General features: G+C 35.9%; 1 long non-coding RNA gene across 3 annotated transcripts in view; it reads right to left on the bottom strand.

The window, feature by feature from the left end:
- Nucleotides 1–20183, bottom strand: part of LOC105378887 (uncharacterized) — a 37615-nt gene that overhangs the window by 15561 nt on the left and 1871 nt on the right. For 2 of the 3 annotated variants that reach the window (XR_947674.1, XR_947672.1), the window contains one exon: nucleotides 19248–19474. This is a non-coding gene — a long non-coding RNA (uncharacterized LOC105378887). Of the gene's footprint in view, nucleotides 1–17568; nucleotides 17908–18014; nucleotides 18165–19247; nucleotides 19475–20183 lie in introns of those variants that run through there. The other variant, XR_947673.1, reaches the window with a different exon arrangement.

Here is a 20183-nt window from a genome sequence, read left to right as displayed (position 1 = left end):
GTCTTTATCTGGTTTTGGTATCAGGGTAATGCTGGCCTGATAGAATGAGTTAAGAATAATTCCTCCTCTTCAATTTTTTGGAATAATTTAAGGAGAAGTTGTGTTAGGTTTTTAAATATGTTTATGTTTTCCACAGCAGTAAAGCCTTTGGGTCCTGGGCTTTGCTTTGTTGATAAACTTTTTATTACTAATTCAATCTCATTTTTATTGGTTCACTAAGGTTTAATTTTTTTTTCGTGGTTCTATTTTACAAATGGTACGTTTCTAGGAATTTTTATTTTCTTTAGGTTTTGTAGTTTCTTAGTGTATAGTTGTTCATAATAGTCTCTGATAATCTTTTGTGTTTCTGTGGCATCAATAATAATGTCTCCTTTTTCATTTTTGATTTTGTTTATTTGGATCATTTCTCTCTTGGTTAATTTAGTAGTGGTTTAACAATTTTGTTTATCTTTTCAAAAAACCAAATTTACATTTGTTGATTCCTTGTATTGTTTTTGTAGTATTTATTTTGTTTAGTTCTCTTCTGATCTTTGTTCTTTCCTTTCTTTTACTAATATTCAGTTTGTTCCTGTTTTTCTAGCTTTTCTAAATTCTCAAGAAGCAAGAATATTAGGTGGTTAATTTGAAATCATTCTACTTTTCTCATTTGGGCATTTATTGCTACACTGTTCCCTGTTAGCATTGATTTTGCTGTGTTCTGTAGGTTTTGATATAATGTGTTTCCACTTTTATTTGTTTTAAGAAGAAATTTTAAAATTTTCTTAATTTCTTCATTGACCCAGTGGTTGTTCAGGAGCATGTTCTTTAATTTCCATATATTTGTACATAGCTTCTAAAGTTCCTCTTGTTTTTGACATCTAGTTTTATTCCACTGTGGTCTGAGAAAATACTTGATGTGATTTTATTTTTAAAAAATTTGTTGAGGTTTGTTTTGTGTCCTAACATATAGTCTACCCTGGAAAATGTTTTATGTGCCAATGAGAAGAAGGTGTACTTTATAGCTTTGCACAAAATATTCTGTAAATGTTTATTAGATCCATTTGGTGTAAAGTTTGAATCCAATCTTTTCTTGTTAATTTACTGTCTAGATGAGCTGTCCAATGCTGAGAGTGGAATGATGACATTTGCAAGTATTGTTATATTGTATCTTATCTCTTTAGATATATTATTATTTGCTTATGTATCTGATGTTAGGTACATATATATTTAGAATTGTTATATTCTTTTGCTGAAATGAATTCTTTATCATTAGGTAGCAACCTCCTCTGATTGCTCTTTTGACCTTCTCTTTATTTTCTGGAACAACCGAAATTCAAAATATTTGTTTGCTTTTTGGTGCCCCATATGTTCCTTAGGCTTTATTTGTCCTTATTTATTCTTTTTTTTCTTTTGTGTGTGTGTAATTATTTCAAAAGACTTGTCTTCAAGTTCTGAAATTATTCTGCTTGATTTAGTCTATTGTTGACACCCTTGATTGTATTTTTTATTTTATTTATGAGTTATTCAGTTTCAGTACTTCTGGTTTACTTTTTTAAAATGATATCTATCTCTCTGGTGAATTTCTCATTCATATCCTGAATAATTTTCTGATTTCTTTGTATGTTTATCTGTGTTCTTTTATATCTCACTGAGCTTCTTTAACAACATTATTTTAAATTTCTTTTTGGGAATATTATAAATGTCTTTTTCATTGAAATCTGCTGGTGGGGAATTATTGTATTCCTTTGGAGGTGTCATACTTTCTTGCTTTTTCATGTTCCTTGTGTCCTTAGGCTGATATTTGTGCATCTGGCATAAGAGTTGCTTCTTCCAAATTTTCTTATTGGCTTTTGTGGGAAAAGATATCTTCCTGAAGATGTGTTTATGGTGATTGTTGTATTGGGTACTTTAGCTATGATTCTGGATGAATGCAGTAGTGTAGTATTTTTATGATTTTTCAGCTGTGAATAATGCCAGTGGTGTCTGTGGTTTCCTCAGTGGCTTGGCTATGCTTGGTAGTGGAGGCTGTGGTGAGGCTTTCTTGGGGATGTGGGTTCCAAGTGGTCCAGTTTTGGGGCTCCAGTGGTGGCAGCAGCAGGCCAAGCATGTCTATCTTTTGGTCCTTGGGTACCATATTTTACTATCATTTGGCCCTTGGGTAGCATGATTTTACAATCATTAAAGCTGGCATGAGTATCAATGTTAGTGGGTCCTGCTGGGTCAATTCTTGGGCCTCTGTGCATCTTGTTCAAGTGAGAGCAGTGACATCAGTGAACCTGGTGGGTGAGGTGGACCTCGGGCCCCTGTGCAGCATGCATGGCATGGGCAATGATAGTAGTAATGGACCCTCAGGCCGTGCTTGCTAAAGTTATTAATAGGTGTGACTGTGACATGCCGGGTGAGTTAGGCCCCAGGTTTCCAGCTGATTCATACAGGTGGGTGCTGGAGGTGGTGTTAGCAGTAGACCGGGTGGGCATATACAAAGGTTCCAAGAACGAGTGAACAGATGACAGTGGTGGTGGACTGGGCAGGGTGATCCCCAGTCCCCAGGCAATGTGCTCAAGCATTGAGGGAGGAGAATGACAGGCTTGCCAGGCGTATCCTCAGGTTCCCCAGTGGTATTCATGGGCACAAGCTGTTATTAACAGAAGGTGATGATCCATGGTGGTGACTGGGGAGAGCCTCTCCTCAGGGTGCATACAGATGTGCAGCAACCCTGTTTCTGACAGTGGGGTTGAGGACTTGTCAGTGGATGTGGCCCCATGTATGAGGTGGCTTTCAGGCTCTGGGGAGTGTGTGCTTCAACCCTCAGTTGTAGTGGCAGCGATAGCAGTGTGCAGAAAGAGACTGTCCTTTGGACATGTGCTAGTGCACAGTGCCTGTGGTATGGGGAATAAGTTTGCAGTCAGTGAGAGTGGCCCCAGGCAGGCTGGTGGCTTTCAGGCTCTGCCTTTCTGGGGAATGTATGCTTTGGCTCATTTGCTCCTACAGGCAGCCTCCCAGGTGAACTGCACTGCCTGTTCCCTAGGATGTAGGACTTTGTGAGGGCTAGTTGTAGAGACTATGCTAGTTAATGACATGCCAGGACCAAACTCAGATTTCTCAGCAGCAATTATGCATTAAACACTTGTTGATATTCATGAGTATTGACCAGGATCTGTGATTCTTTCCATGGCACTAGTCATTCATGTTAGTGTTATTTATTTATTACTTTTCAATAATTGTTACCTCGCATCAAACCTAATTTGGAGTTCAATATATGGGACCACTGATTAAATAAAAAGAAATGTTCAATTTTACTATAATCACTATTTTCTAGCATTTATTGCCTCCTATATGCTGGACCATATGTTAGATAATTCACTTTTGTTTTCTCATTTAATTATTACAAGACCATGATGCTGCAAGTATTAATATATTTATTTTACATATGTGGAAACTAAAGGACTAAAGTTGAGAAACTTATGCAAAATCACAAAGCAATTAAATTGCAGTGTTAGCCATCAAACTCTAGTTTTTTCAACCTTCTAAGTCTTCTTACACTATATACTTTGACTTTTTTGTAAGTATTATCAATGAAAATTCACTTTTGACTTTGACTATGTACCAATTCCGTTAGTTAAAATGCAATATATTCTCATTTGTGGAACTTTAATTTGGCCTTTCTAAATAAAATTGCTATTTTATAAAAAAAACTTGTCAATACGAAGCAAAACAACATCCTCGTGTAATATGCATTATTGGGTGCACATTATCATTTCTGAGTTGCTATGCCTATTTCTTCTTATTAAAAAATGAATGCACAACTAATGTTTACTCAAGAGATGAATTATTTTGCAAATGAAAAATTATAATTGTTATATTCAGTCACATTTCAACCTTACATCACCAAAAGAGAGCCTTTCACTTGGAGCTCTTTTGCAACAATGTTTTTCTAAAGCTCTCCAGCCAGCTTTAATGATTGTAAAATATTTAGGTATTTTTTAAATGTTGTAGACCAAATAGAATAATGCATGAAAGCAATAAATAAATAAGCAGACAAATCACATCTAAAGCAGACTGATAGTGAAGCTTTTACAAAAGGGTCGACCACAGAGGTTTTAAAATCCGTTTGATAGTTTTTATTTGTGGTAGACAGATTCTTACACAGCTGAACCTCCCTGCCCTTGGAAGAATACAGAGGAAGCAGTGATTAAGATATTATTATCAAGCCAGTGAGACATGTTAACCACAATGAAAAATACTGAGCTTTCTGGAAGGAATACATAGTGAAGCTACCAACTTTTGGCTACCTTCCAAATCCCAATTTATCTGTAGGCATGCCTTACCCCAGGGAAAATAATCCTCTTTGGCCAAGCAGGCAAATTCTGCCTCATCATTGTCTACAACCTGGAAAATGCTTTTAAAAAGACTGCTCTAGACTTCTCACCAATGTGGAGTTAGGTCTTATTCACACAATGCCTTTGTACCATAGACTTGTCCAACACCGTTGAAATTAAGGGTTTACCAGAAGGAATCCTTTTGATTTGGAACTCCTCTTACTTTCTTTCTTTGTCTTGTAATGTTTTTATATTTTCAAAATATCCACAATGGCATTTCGACGTGTCTGTGTTTTCTCCAGTAAGTACTTTCCGTACTTCAATCACCTCTATTTAAGAGAAAAATTCTGATATGTCCAACTTTTGACATACACTAATTTTTGATTACGAATTCATATGACAAACATGCTACCTTAGTCTTAATATTAATGTGTTCATTGAAAATGACATAGAAGAAAGGGCATTTAGCCTTACAGAGAATTAATTAGCATGTAATTCTCAGCATATCATCTAGTGTTAATTAGCAGTTAAACCATCTTCTCGTACATGACCTGCTGATTTCAATACAGTGTTCTATTTTGGAGGCCCTAGGGGAAAGCAACTTGAAAGGATATTCTATCTTCTTTTTTTGAAAATAAAATGTGAAATCACAACTGTGATTTTCCTGTGTTTTGTTTAACTAACAGATTTTCCTCATTTTGCCCTTTCCTAGATCGATGTCATAAGCGTTATCCCTTCCCTTTCTAATAAAACAGTAGTCAAATCACTACACATTGATGAGTAAAATTAATATTCACAACTAAGTCTTTTTTAAAGCTAGAGCTTTTTCTGTTTTTTTTCATATTTACAATTCTTAGAGGAATGTTTGATATGATTGCTAGGTAAAACTGTGAATGAGCTGATCTTACTGTTTTTTTTTATGTTTATATATATATATGTTAGGTGACAAGCAGCTTTTTTAAACAAATAAATGCATTAAGAAATCTGATAAGTCATCATGAAAAATAAATTTTGAATTTTTTTTTAGCACACTCATATTTACTTATCTCAATAGATGCCAACAGAGTAAGACCATGGCTAATCTATTCAAATCATTCAAATTTATCTTTAAAATGCATAATTAAGGCCAGGCGAGGTGGCTCACACTTGTAATCCCAGCATTTTGGGAGGCTGAGACAGGCAGATCACGAGGTCAGGAGATCAAGACCATCCTGGCTAACACGGTGAAACCCCGTCTCTACTAAAAATACAAAAAAAAATTGGCCGGGCATGGTGGCGAGCACCTGCAGTCCCAGATATTTGGGAGGCTGAGGCAGGAGAATGGCATGAACCCTGAAGGCAGAGGTTGCAGTGAGCTGAGATTGAGCCACTGCACTCCAGCATGGGTGACAGAGCGAGACTCTGTCTCAAAAAAAAAAATAAATAAATGCATAATTTAATGTGTATGTATGATATGTCAGAAATTCAAAATACTTACAAAAATGAAGAAATGTCATTTTTATCTTTTTGAAAGATGCCACCCTACAGACCTGCACTGCTGACTCAGTGTTCATGGGTCATTGTGCCTCATTCTCCCCTATCTTTGGGTTCAGGCTTGGCTCTCCCCGTGATGGAACCAAATACTTGTCCCTGTCCTTTGACTATTACTTTAGTTCACAAGTTTCTTAGATTGGTAGTAAGACCAAAGATGTCAAAAATACATTATTTTTTCAAGGCTCTTATGGCTTTTTGATTTATACTCATCTTGAGAAGAGATTGGTTATTAAATTATCTTCTTCACTGCAAAAGAGCAACTTATATTTGCACAATCCACAAAGCATTTTCACACACATTATCTCATTTGATTCTCACAAAAACTCAGAGCACGTATAATTACTGTCATTTTACAAATGAAGAAAAGAGTCTCAGAGAAATTAAATGATTTTCCAAGGTATCAAAAGTAGATAGTGGTGAAATCAAGAGAAAAACTTAGGTTTTTGACTTTGGCATACAATTCTTTTCCCCCTTTATTACACTTCAGGATATAGACATGAAATCTTGTTTTTTTTGTGAACTCCCATTAGGCTGCAGGTCTTGGAAGATGATAAGGTAATCAAATAAAGAAGAATAGAAATAAAGTGATCTGGATTGAATTTCATATAAAGTTTCCTATTATATGACATTATTTCTGTATCCTGGGGGAGCAGGATTATTTGTTCCCTTTCAATATTATTTCTCACATTCTCCCTTAATGATATAGCTTTACTTAAATCTATGATGCCATGGCTACAGGTTGACTTTGAGACAAGCACCAGAAAGACACTGCTGTCATTAAACACAGTTTTAAAGAAATTGAAATGTTCCTATCTTTATTTTATAATTTGAATAGATATGGGCTTCTGAAGTGTCTGAGGCTAAGACCCCATTCTAAATATCTTCAACCACTAAAAATTTAAATTCTGCTTACCTAAGCTGCATATTTAAATTTATAAATTTTCCAGGCAAGGCTTTGGAAAATATGAAAATTGCAATATTTGAACAATTAGCTCCATCACTTTAATTAAGAACTTGAACTAAATTTATTTCAAGTTATTTATACTTCTAGCTTCATATTTTTAGAGTTACTCATGAGGACAGAATAAAAGCTCAAAACACAGGCTTTGACTTCAGATGAACTAGGTTCATAAATATTCTTATAGTTACTGAATTGTTGACTTCCAGCAAGACAATTGATATCTGTGTGCTTTGGTTTGTTTTAAAGATTAACTAAGGTGGTGCACTTGTAATTAATCAAGACATGGTGTCTATTTTTTTTACTATTATATATTCAAGGAGAATACAAAAGTGCCTAGCATCTTAAGTCATCTCTTATAATAATGGTGTTTTGAGAATGGTAACTTGATCCTTATTTATTTATTAATTATCACCACAGCTTTTATATTTCTATACAAATTTTCAGTAATTTTGACCATTAGTTTAGATATATATATATATATTTATACTTTTGTATTTGTGTAAGGCATAGGTAAAGCCTTCCATACTATTTCCATGCTATACCCAGTCTTTGAAAACAGGAAATTTCCTACATTTGCAAATACCTTTAGACATATAATACCAAGTGATTTATCTTACATTTAAAATTTTAAATACATGTAATTAAGACTTTTTTGCCCTTTGCTAGATAATTGAATTGAATTAATGTTGGCATTTTATATGCCTATCTTGAATTAGGCATTTTTGTTGTTTTTGTTTGTTGTTGTTGTTGTTGAGATGGAGTCTCGCTCTGTCTCCCAGGCTAGAGTGCAGGGGCGCGATCTCGGCTCACTGCAACCTCTGCCTCCAGGGTTCAAGCAATTCTCTGCCTCAGCCTCCTGACTAGCTGGGATTACAGGTGGGTGCCACGACACCCGGCTAATTTTTGTATTTTTAGTAGAGATGGGGTTTCACCATCCTGGCCAGGCAGGTCTGGCTGGTCTTGAACTCCTGACCTCATGATCCACCCGCCTAGGTCTCCCAAAGTTCTGGGATTACAGGTGTGAGCCACCTCATCCGGCCTGAATTAGGCATTTTTAGAAATTGTTTTTCAGCTTCTTAAGATATCATTAATACGTATTTCTGATAGTGGTTTGAAAATATTCATGCAGCTTTCAAAATTTCTAATTTATTTCAATATAGTAGATTACATATTGGAAAAATCTAATTCAGCATGACATATTTGCAGTAAAAATTACTTTGCCATAATAAATGTACTTAAAATATATTTGTACAGAAAAGTTTTTTCTCTTCTTTCAGGTTTATTTCTCTTAGAGTTCTTATTGAGCCTCTCATTGTGATGACTACACAGGGAGTTTTATGAAGAGCTGTGATGTGCTGGACATAGCTACCTGGCTATCAAGGTTGTCACTTCAATTGCAGAAGCTAAGCTTCAACTGTGCAAAGGTGGTCCTCTCATTATTCTTTTATTACTCCTTCCTTTGATGAAATCATTCTACAAATATTTGATAATTTTTGCTTTCAGTTCAGAGTCACTCTGGTTTAGTCTTATGAAAAGATGAAACATGCTTTTGGACATGTGATTGATTATATATCGTCAATATAGAAACTGAAATAATTTAATCCAATTCACAGATTCCAAATCAAATATTACACATACCTAAAGAAAACTAGAGATGATAGCTTTTTTTTTTTTTTTTTTTTTTTGAGACGGAGTCTTGCTCCCAGGCTGGGGTACAGTGGTGCGATCTCGGCTCACTGCAACCTCTGCCTCCCGGGTTCAAGCGATTATCCTGCCTCAGCCTCCTGAGTAGCTGGGATTACAGGCATGCACCACCATGCCCAGCTAATTTTTGTATTTTTAGTAGAGATGGGGTTTCACCATGTTGATCAGGCTGGTCTCGAACTCCTGACCTCTGATCTGCCAGCCTCGGCCTCCCAAAGTGCTGGGATTACAGGTGTGAGTCATTGCGCCCAGCCGGATGATAGCTTTTTTATCTCTCTGCTTTCTTCCTGTGTCTGTTGTTTTTATATGATCTCAACAAACTAGTCAGTTCAAAGTTCCGGTGAAGGCTGGGCAAGGTGGCTCATGCCTGTAATCCCAGCACTTTGGGAGGCTGAGGTGGGCGGATCACGAGGTCAGGAGTTCGAGACCAGCCTGGCCAATATGGTGAAACCCCATCTCTATTAAAAATACAAAAATTAGCCAGGCGTGGTAGCAGATGCCTGTAATCCCAGCTACTTGGGATGCTGAGGCAGAAGTGCTTGAACCCAAGAGGCGGAGGTAGCAGTGAGCCAAGATCATGCCATTGCACTCCAGCCTGAGCGACAGACAGAGCAAGACTCCATCTCCATAAATAAATAAATAAATAAATAAATTTCCAGTGAGATCTATTACTCGCATGGTAGTAGTATAATAGAGGTTAATGAGATGTGGTCAAGAAGTCTATATGAGTCAAACATTTAAACTGGTTGGCTTCTTTATAAAGCCCTGGTAGAGGAATGGTGTTAACAAGGAAGAAATTGAAACATAAACATTTCCTTCTGAAATGTTTTGTTCTATAAAGTGGAAAACAACGTTTTATATTTTTTGCTCTACTAGGTGGTAAGGCAAAGTGTAATATATTTTTTTGATACAGATGAGTTAAAAGCTGTCTTGCTCCTATTATAGATGCCCAAAGGAGGTGGTCTACAATTGTTGAGGTAGCCTCAGGGCTTTCTCCTGAGATACCTCAAAGACTCTAAGGGTATGTCTTTACTGAGATTACGAGTATTTGGATAAATCTAATCTTTGGAGTTTTATTTGGAAGAGACCTCTTTAAAAATATAAACTTGTTCTTTTTAAAAGGATAATGTTTTTCTTTCATTCATTCCTGAGTACCTTTATCATTCTTTTCATACCCAAATACGTGACAGGTACTTTGTTAAGTACCTGGGAGAATAGAATGAAATGGAAAGAACCTACTTTCAAGATATTTTATATGACTATCAACTTGCAAACTATACACAAACTAGACTAAACTTGCTTTCACTTTTCTGTTTCATGTCATACAACCACGTGACAGCATTTAGTTTCTCACTTCCAGTAGCCAAGTTTAGAAAATTAAACAAAATTGTGCTCTTGGAAGTTAGATTTTTGTTAATCCCAATGCATGTACTTTGAGTTATTTTTGTAATTCCTTTTTCAATTAAAAATAAATATTTATTTTTAGATTGACAAATAAATATTGTATATATTTATGATGTACAACATAATGTTTGGATATATGTCCACATCGTGGAATGGCTAAAATAAGATAATTAATATGTCCATTAACCTCAGATACTTAATCAATTTTTGTGGTGAGAACACTTAAAATGTATTCTTAGCAATTTTCAGCTATACAATAAATTACTATCCACTATAGTCATCTTATTGTACAAGAGATTTTGTGAATATATTTCTTCTGTCTTACTGAAATTTTGTATTCTTTGACAAACAGTATCGCATTTCACCACTTATCCCCTGCTCTGCCCTCCACCCTATCAACCATATTTCTCCTCTGTTTTTATAAACTTGACTCTTAGATTCCACATATAAGTGAGATCACTCTCAATAAGTGAGATCTCAAATACCACATGATCACTTTAACTCTTAAATGCAATTTATCTATTCCAGTTGCTTTTATACTGGACAATATTATGTACTGGAGCAAAGGTTAAATTAGAATATTTGCTTCAGGTATTACGCAACTAATAAAAATTACTTGATGCAACAAGAGAACGTTCCCACCTATCTCAGACCATTCTACCTGCTTCTAAACTCCTGGTGCAACCTGGTACATGAAATGTAGACCTGGTCTCAAATCAATGAGAGCTACTTTGCTACCTCCCCAAATCTATGTTACTTAGGTAATGGATTCTTGAAAGACATGCTATGTGGACAATTTAAATTTAGCTATAATAGAAAAGTTATTTCTCATCATATTACAGATATGACTATTCTCTTTATGACTTTACAAAATAAAATTACAGTATGTTTCATAATTTCAAAATATCCTAAAGTGAAATTCTAAAATCATTGTTTTGATTCTGAGGATTCCATAGACCATTAAAATCAAGTTAGCACCTTCAGATATAAAGTAATAACTTACTCCCATCCTTGTATATTACATGTTTTGAAAATGAAGGTCAAGGCTCTGAGGTTGCCCCATCCTCTTTCTGAAAAGCATGGTGCGATCTTTAACTCCACTTGAGCAGCCACTAGAGGTAAGTGGATAAGACCTCAGTTTAATGTCTCAGCTGAAGGGCAGACAGGCAGAGCCATTATTAATGCCTGACAAGCCGAGAACTCTGCTTCTGTGCAGTTAAAGCCTCAGCAACAGGCAGTGGAGGTTTATAATTTATAAGAATGGAAATAGATCGAGACTCTATTTCTGGGAAGAAAATAAAGTCATAATGCATTTACAACTGATGCTTAGTTGCACTTAAGTGCCCCCGAGGGCATTCCATTAATGAGGACCTGAGATTACAAGAAAGATATAGATATATAAAAATGTTGAATTAACATATTTTTCCTTTATTTAAACTTGAAAAAGCGTATAATGTCCTTTCAGCATATTTGACAAACATATACCTAAAGGCAAAACTGTTACTTACAAAAGCCATAATACTATGTGAAACCATATGGTAAATGGTCTTTCTTGGTGATTACAAATCCCAGTTTTATAGCACCCTAGAGATATCATAAAATTTGGAAATTATTTTTAATTAAAAATGTATAATAACTTCAATGTAACACATTCTCTGTATACCAGATTTTCCTTAAAACAAATTTACCTTAACCTCTGTCTAGATGGGCTTTGTACCAAGAAGACTTCATATTAGAGGTATTTATATGGAACCAATTTGAAGCATTGATATGGGAGCCATTATTAAATCACATGTTCTTTAGGACTGAAATGGCTCAAAAATCAAGTAGCACACAATAAGATACATCAAGTCTGAAAGTATTCAGAATGACTGAGCCAGAAAATACATATTTCATTTTCTACTTTTTTTTTAAAAAAAAAGTTTTTCTAATGTCTGCCTCACTCAAAATATTTGAAATAATACCTCCTGTCCTTGGAAGAGACTTAAATTTTAAATCACGTAAGTCATATATATGTGTGTGTGCATATATATATGTGTGTATATATATATGTGTATATATATGCACACACACTTATATGTGTGTATGTATGTGTTTATATAAATATTACACACACATACACACACACATATGTATGTATCTATTTAAAACCAGAATACCAGAATTTAATACTTCCTTTGCATGATGACAGCAAAGAGTGTTCTTAAAGCCATTCTTTCCTTTCCCAAGTAGTTTTAGGTTTAGATATGCTTCTAAGTTAACAAAAAAATGGATACATTTTAGGTTGACTTGATTCACCTCTAAGGTGTACAAGCAAAATAAGAGCCCCTCAATCTTTCAAATGATATGTAAGAATCCAATAGAAAGACAATAGAAATTAAATAAAGAATTAAGCTAAAAAAATTGTTTGCTACAATAGCCAGCTTTGGGGCCCAAAGTTTACTTGCAATACTGTTAAATGAAGAAAGAAATTAAGTCCTTTTTTAAATTATTTCTCCAGGTAGTCATACATTAAAAGAGAAAAAAAATGGCCTGAGCCTTTGTAATTATGGCTGTTGTAGAAAGTCACTGGGAGAAATCATAATTCATACATTTTATCACATTAAATACCTGAAGCCTGATGAAACTAGATAGTAATATGTGTGCAAACATCAATTATTCCATACTTTGATGTAAAGATTCATCAGTGTCCGGAGCAGCAGCCAGACAATGAACCATGGGCAATGTGTTTTTAAATTGGTCTCATATAAATTTTATTTATATTTTAACTTATGGTTTCTATTAAACCACAGAGCAGTGATTCTTAACTTTTTATATATTTTTTCCTTAATTCATAATGAAGATTTCTCATTTTCAGTGAGCAGAGAGAAGAGCTGCAAGAGATAGGTATTAAATTAACCCTGCAAACATGTGCTGCTTAACCACACTGATTGCTATTCCTCTGTCTCACATTTGCAAAGTGTATGAATAAATACAATAATGACATGCCACTAATGACTATAATCCTACAGAACCCTCATTCTTGCAGCTTATTCCTAATAGTTGTACAAATATTACTCTATTTGTGCTTCATGGATTCCTAAATATATCTTCGAAGATAAAAGCAATTTCTAATTCCTAGGGCACTTTTATTTTATTACAGTCATCTACTCATTTATCCTTCAGTCAAATGCACACTAACTGCCTGCTTATACTGATACTGTGCTTGACATTGAGGATTTAAAGTAAAACGTAGTCTCTACTCCTGAAGTGCTACCAGGGTTGTAGAAGGTGACAGACATATAAAGAAATAAGAGGAATAAATTACTGTAGAGCCTATCACAGGAATGTATGCATTACAGTCAAGAACAAAGAAGGAAACGTTTATCTCCACCAAGAGTTAAATAATAATACGGAGGAAGAATTATGCTTAATGGGTATCTATAATTGAAAATACAAACGAATTAAGCAAAAAGAAGAGTGAGTGAAAGTGAACACAACCAAGGGAAAAAGACCATTAAAAAATAGATTTTCACAGAAATAAGATGAGAAAAAGGCTTACTGAGAAAACTTTTAAAATGTTATTAAAAATAACTGAAAATGAATGATAAAATATCTTTTAGATTTTCTTCTATTCTGGAAAGATATTGATGATCAATCAATTATGGAATAGATCCTTATTGAAATTTATGTAAAGATTCTGGTTTATTTTTCCAAACACATTTCTGGAATAATACTCTGGGATCAATAATTTTTCTCAGTAGATGTTTTACTTTAGTCTATTTGTTAATTCTGCAGTAATACCTATTCAATCATCACATGGATTGAATCACGTCGTATGCAAGTTAAATACACACATGTGTAAATCCATTAAACTAGTATAGCAGGTTTGTTAAATGGCTGGTAGGATATGTTCTATAAAAAATTAATTAAGATTTTAGAGTCAGAAACATTACGGTTTTTGATGGCTAATACTGAGTGTCAACTTGATTGGATTGAAGGATGCAAAGTATCATTCTTGGGTGTGTCTGTGAGGATGTTGCCAAAAGAGATTAACATTTGAGTCACTGGGCTGGGAGAGGTAGACCCACCCTCACTCTGGGTGGGCACAATCTAATTAGCTGCCAGTGCAGCTAGGATAAAAGCAGGCAGAAGAACATGGAAGGACTAGATTGGCTAAGTCTTCTGGCCTCCGTCTTTCCCCCATGCTGGATGCTTTCTACCCTCAAACATCAGACTCCATGTTTTTCAGCTTGTGGACTCTTGGACTTACACCAGTGATTTGCCAGGGGCTGTCAGGCCTTTGGCCACAGATTGAAGGCTGTGCTATCGGCTTTCCTACTTTTGAGGTTTGGGGACTTGGACTGGTTTCCTGGCTCCTCTGCCTGCAGCCTCCCTATTGTGGGTCTTCATCTTGTGATCGTGTGAGACAATTCTCCTAATAAATTCCCCTTCATATATACATCTGTCCTGTGATTTCTGTCCCTCTGGAGAACCCTGATTAATACATGGTTTTTGCATGAAATAAACTAATTCAGAATACTGCATATGTAGTAGTGGCAGAAACCATTGCTAACAACTGGAATAATAGTATGACATCCTTTAATAGACAGCTTCCATGTTGGATGGCATGAAAGGCAGAGAATGTCTCCTGCTACATTAAAAAGCAAGAAATTTATATACAAATTAAATCACCAGAGCAACTATTTAAATATGTATTTTTATGTCTAATACACTCTGGCACTAGGTAATAAGTGTTTTATAATTCAAGAACTTTTCCCAATCATAAGTTTTTCGGACTTGGCAAGATTATTAAAAATATTTAGTCAAGGCCAGGCACGTTGACTCGTGCCTGTAATCCCAGCACTTTGGGAAGCCAAGGCGGGTGGATCACTTGAGGTCAGGAGTTCAAGACCAGCCTGGCCAACATGGTGAAAACCCATTTCTACTAAAAGTACAAAAATTTTCTGGGTGTGGTAGCACAGGCTTGTAATCTCAGCTCCTAGGGGGGCTGAGGTAGAGAATTGCTTGAACCTATAGGGCGGATGTTACAGTGAGCCAAGATCACACCATTGCACTCCAGCCTGAGTGACAGAGCAAGATTCCATCTCAAAAACAAACAAACAAACAAACAAACAAACAAAAAATATATATATACACACACACATATATATTTAGTCAAATGCCTTGTGCTATGGGTCATTAGTTATTGTGAATCTGAGTCACAAAGAACCAGGGATAAGAAGCCCTAATCTTGGAACTTAATTGGTTTGAATGAAATTGTCAGTAAATTATATGGTTAATATTTGGAGTTTTAGTCTTTATTTTTTATAATTTCCATGCATTTGGGCTATATTATGTGCAAACAAACATGATATTGAACATGGAAACCATGGAACCTGACTTAGAGAAATAATATCACACTTAATGGAAACTAAACCCACTTATAAAGTATAATTTTTATTTTTTTTTTGAGATGGAGTGATTTCTGTCCCTCCGTCTTGCTCTGTCTTGCTCTGTCACCCAGGCTGGAGTGCAGTGGCGCGATCTTGGCTCTCTGCAAGCTCCGCCTCCCAGGTTCACGTCATTCTCCTGCCTCAGCCTCCCGAGTACCTGGGATCACAGGCACCCGCCACCACGCCCAGCTAACTTTTTTTTTTTTTGTATTTTTAATAGAGACGGGGTTTCACCGTGTTAGCCAGGATGGTCTCGATCTCCTGACCTCATAATCCACCTTCCTCGGCCTCCCAAAGTGCTGGGATTACAGGCGTGAGCCACCGCACCTGGCCTATAAAGTATAAATTTTTAATAGTGTTAAGCAACAGGTCAAAATGTGATGCAGTGTAACTCTACAAATTGAAGGTCTGAGGGCTGAAATAATGAGTCAAAATGGAATAATGAGGCCAGAATAAGACTGATTTCCAAAATGTTCCCAGAGTTATTGAATTTTGTAGCTTAAAATCATGACATTTATCTATCTGATAGCTTTGTACAAAATTAACTATTGGAACTACAATTCCTATTATTACTTTTGCAGGTTAGTTTTGGCCTCAGGAGAGATTTGTGTGAGATTTGCAAGGCAAAAGTGTAGCAGCAGCCACCACTCTCTGAAAGTCAGTGTAGGGGAAAGCACTACTATATCTCACACAAATTGTCACTGATCTTCTGTCACACAGAGATGGTGTAGGGCAGCAGCCAGGGTTGCAGAGATTACAGATCCCACTGGATCTCTTTCTTAAGTTTCCCAAACCGTGGTCCAGATGAAAAGTATCAGCTTCTTTTCCACATCACTGTATCACCAAGCTGGCGTGTGGTGAGAGACAGAGGCGGGGTTTACAATGCTCTGCGCTCCCCGATGCCTTATGGCTGGCGTTTTATCTTGACTAGTGGCCTTCCTGATCTACAGTAACTTCATTCTCTTATCACAGTCAACAACTTTCTATAGTACTCACAATTGCATATGGTGGATTCCCTATAATTAGCCCTTTATTATATAACTCAGTGGTTCTACTTCTCTGACTGAACTGCAAATTATAGAGAAATTCATATTAGAAAAAGTTCCAGGGGAAAAAAAAACTTTTTGGAAGTGTTCTCTGTAATGGCTCTGGGCTATCTGGAATTGATATTTGATCTAATTATATTTCAAGACATTAATGATCCCACGGAGAATGGTAATATGGACACCGTTAATCCATGGCAAAATTATTACTTATAATAACCTGTAGACACCTGTAATCAAATGTTTATAAAAGGAAAGGTTTTTGGTGACAAAATACTTTCTGCCACAGATTACTTTATAAAAATAAGGAGGGTAATGGGGTTTGGTTAATTACTTCTGATTGTGCTTGAGGACTTGGGAAAAGTAAATAATGAGTTCAAAGTTTTAATTTTCCAGTCAAATACAAGAAATGAGAACACTTCTAAGTCTTCCTTAAAATAAACTTTTGTATTCTGTAGCCAAAGGACTGAGATTTCTGAAAACCTCACCAAAACTCTAACTCTGTTAGTAGCTAAATTAAAAAGCAATTAAATTTACAACTTCACAGGATCTTTCATATTAAAGTTAGGATATTCATAAGGAGTTATACTCTGAAAATATGGATGGGATTATATGAAACAAATTCTAATGAAGCTAGGGAATTTAATCCTAAATTTTTCTGTGCTTCTTTTATCATTAGAAACATCCTTTCTCCCTTGTTTGAAAAAGTTAGTTTTCTTCTGCCTAAGGAATGTGTAACAGCCTCTTCTGAAGTATTTGAATTACAGGGGACTGCTGATCTTTAAAACATAACCCTTAACCTCTCATTGGTTCTAGACCTACAATCAGACTCTAATCCCAGAGGGTGAGATTATAAAAATGTGGCCTATGTGAAGGTGAAAACCATACCAAAATTCTTAAAATTTTGCCAATTAGTATTGTCAGAAACCTGAAGAACATGTGAGAAATAGATCCTCATGAATGTTGGATCAGATTGGAAGGAATATAATGTTAATATTTTTCTTGAATTTGTTGGTATGAATATTCTAGACCACAGATTCTAAATTGAATTTGAAATGTTAAGTATCTAAGAGTGACTCTGATTGCTTGCTTGCTTGCTTGTTTCATTAAAGGATTACTCTCACTAAATGAAGTTAGGATGCTTGAATTTTCTTGGTACGGAGAAATGCATCAAATGGCTTAGGAAGATTGGAAGAGTAGGGTGGATTTATCACATATGACAGACAGTTTACCTCTAATTATGTGTCCCCAAAAGGACCCCAGAAAATTCCCATCTCCAAAGCTGTAAGAAAATAAATTTGGGGAGGAGATGCCCAGAATCTGTGAAGAATTCAGTGCAGATATTCGCTGCAATGACAGTTAGAAATGCTGCCTTTTAAGTGGGCACCTTGAAGGCAATCAGGCTGATGGGATCCCAGAGTGTCAGGGCCAGCTGCCATCGTGGTTACTGCAATAGGTTGCAGAGCTGGAGTGTCCCAAATGCTTTGATCTGCAGAGATCTCTTGCATTAGCTCAATGGTCATGGTTCTCTAGAATTGAAATGCGGTGGTAGTCTATTAAAATCCTCTTTGATTTGTGTAAGTAGAAAAGTTCTAAACATAGTAAAAAGAAGTTTGACTTGAATCAAAATTCTCACCCTCCAGGCAGTCACAGATCCACAGCCCTTTGAATGAAGGGGAAGCTTGTCTCTTTGAGGAAGGACCTTGCCCACACAGTCAAACATGTATATCTTCTGTCTTTCTCCCTGCATTCTCCAAAAGGAACTGTCACATTTACCAGGGTGTGTCTGTGCATTGAAGGTAGACAAATAAGCACGCTTTTTCAGGGATCACTGGGGCCCTGGTTCTGAAATAATATGAATTCCTGGAGACATAATACGCCATTTTGTTTTACTGGTAGTCAAAATAAAGGCTTGGGGAGTAAGATTATCAATGTAATTTTTGCTCAGATTCTTATTTCAGTGGAACCTGTGGTTCCTAAAACCTACTTTATGATTATTTCCCTAGTTCAAAATGCACAGTTGAAATACACATGTGATATGCTTGCTAGATGTCAACTACTTAGTGGGTATTAGACCTTGTTCTAAGTACCACTACATATATTGATTTATTTCTCACAATATGCTAAGACCTAGATACTATTAGCAGACAGGTTAAGAAACTCACCCAAAGTTATGAAACAAGCACATACTGTATTCAGGATCTGAGCCCAAGTAGTCTGGCTACAGAGTCATTGTTCTTAGGGTGATATGGTTAGAGACAAGAGGTTTGACTTCAGACATTAGAGTCTATAAATTTATAAGATAGTTGTAATAAATTACACAAGAAATAAAGTGCAGGATTTAGTTAATACATCTTAAAATGTATTTATATTTTTCCTGAAATTTTCACACGTCTTTTCTCCATTCCACATACATTCGGTCAAATGATTGTCCTTTTTAAAGAACATATTAGATTTATTGCAGACAAGAAAAAATAATCCCCAATCCTCACAAAATTCTGTGAAAGAGAGGGTCTGAAACAGATCAATAATATGATGTAAATCTTCTGATAAATGAATAGGAAGCAGTTGAAATATTAATTGAGTGTGAGAGAGAGAGGGAGAGGTGAGAATAAGCTCCATTCTAAAATATGACTGCATATGTAACACATTTTATATTTTCACAGTAAGATTGATGTATATGTTTGTGTATTTGTGTGTATGTGCATATGTGTGGGCATGTTTGTGCACATACACTTTATGCTGTTATTCTGTCTTATCCTCAGACTAAACTCTTTGGAAGATAGCAAAGGCAGGCAAGCATTATAAATAGCTGTCCTGATAGACAAACCCAGACTGTTTCCAGGAGTGAGCTTCTAACTTTTCCTACCTTTTCGGTTGAGATGCTGATGAATAGAACAGGACACATAATAGAGATACTGCTATAGGATGTCACAGCTAAACTGATCTACTTCGGAGACACAATGCTTAGGATGTGTCTGGATGGTCTGCTGAGCACACAGAGTTGATTCTTTCACATAACAGCATAATTATGTCCCTTCATGAACTTGATATGTTGGAACATCACCCCTTTCAAATTTTCTTTTGTTTCTTTTCCTTAAAAGGAGATAGAGAGACATATAGAGAAAACATATAATTGTGTTTTACTTTATTTAAATAGAATTAGAAATTTCTTCATTATTATGTTAGTTTTTTATTGCTATGTATTACCATAAACAATATTGCTACAACTTACGATAAATTTGGTAGATGAAAACAATAGATATTGGCCCTATAGGAAAAATCAACGAACATTATATTCAACAGTGAAAGACTGAAATATTTTCCTCTAAGGTCAAGATAAAGGTAAGGATGCCTACTTTTACCACTTCTATTCAACATAATACTGGAAGTCCTAGCCAGAGCAATCAGGCAAGAATAAAGAATAAAAATGGGCTGGGCTTGATGGCTCACACTTGTAATTTCATCACTTTGGGAGGCCTGGGCAGGAGGATCGCTTGAATCTAGGAGGTTGAGATCAGCCTGGGCAACATTGTCAGGCCCTGTCTCTACAAAAATTTTAAAAATCATAAAAAAATATTAGCCAGGTATGGGTGGTGCATGCCTGTAGTCCCAGCTACTTGGAAGGCTGAAGCAGGAGGATCATTTGAGCCTGGCAGATTGAAGTTACAGTGAGCCATGATCACGCCACTACATTCCAGTCTGGGTGACAGAGTGAAACCTTGGAAAAAAAAAAAGGAAAGAGGGAGGGAAGGAAGGAAGGAAGAGTCCAAATTGAAAAAGGAGATGTAAAATAAACTCTGTT

Source organism: Homo sapiens, chromosome 1 (assembly GCF_000001405.40).
Source record: "Homo sapiens chromosome 1, GRCh38.p14 Primary Assembly".
In the NCBI taxonomy this organism is placed as follows: domain Eukaryota; kingdom Metazoa; phylum Chordata; class Mammalia; order Primates; family Hominidae; genus Homo; species Homo sapiens.
The sequence above is the reverse complement of the archived record's forward strand: the minus strand, read 5'-3'. Positions and strand labels throughout refer to the sequence as shown.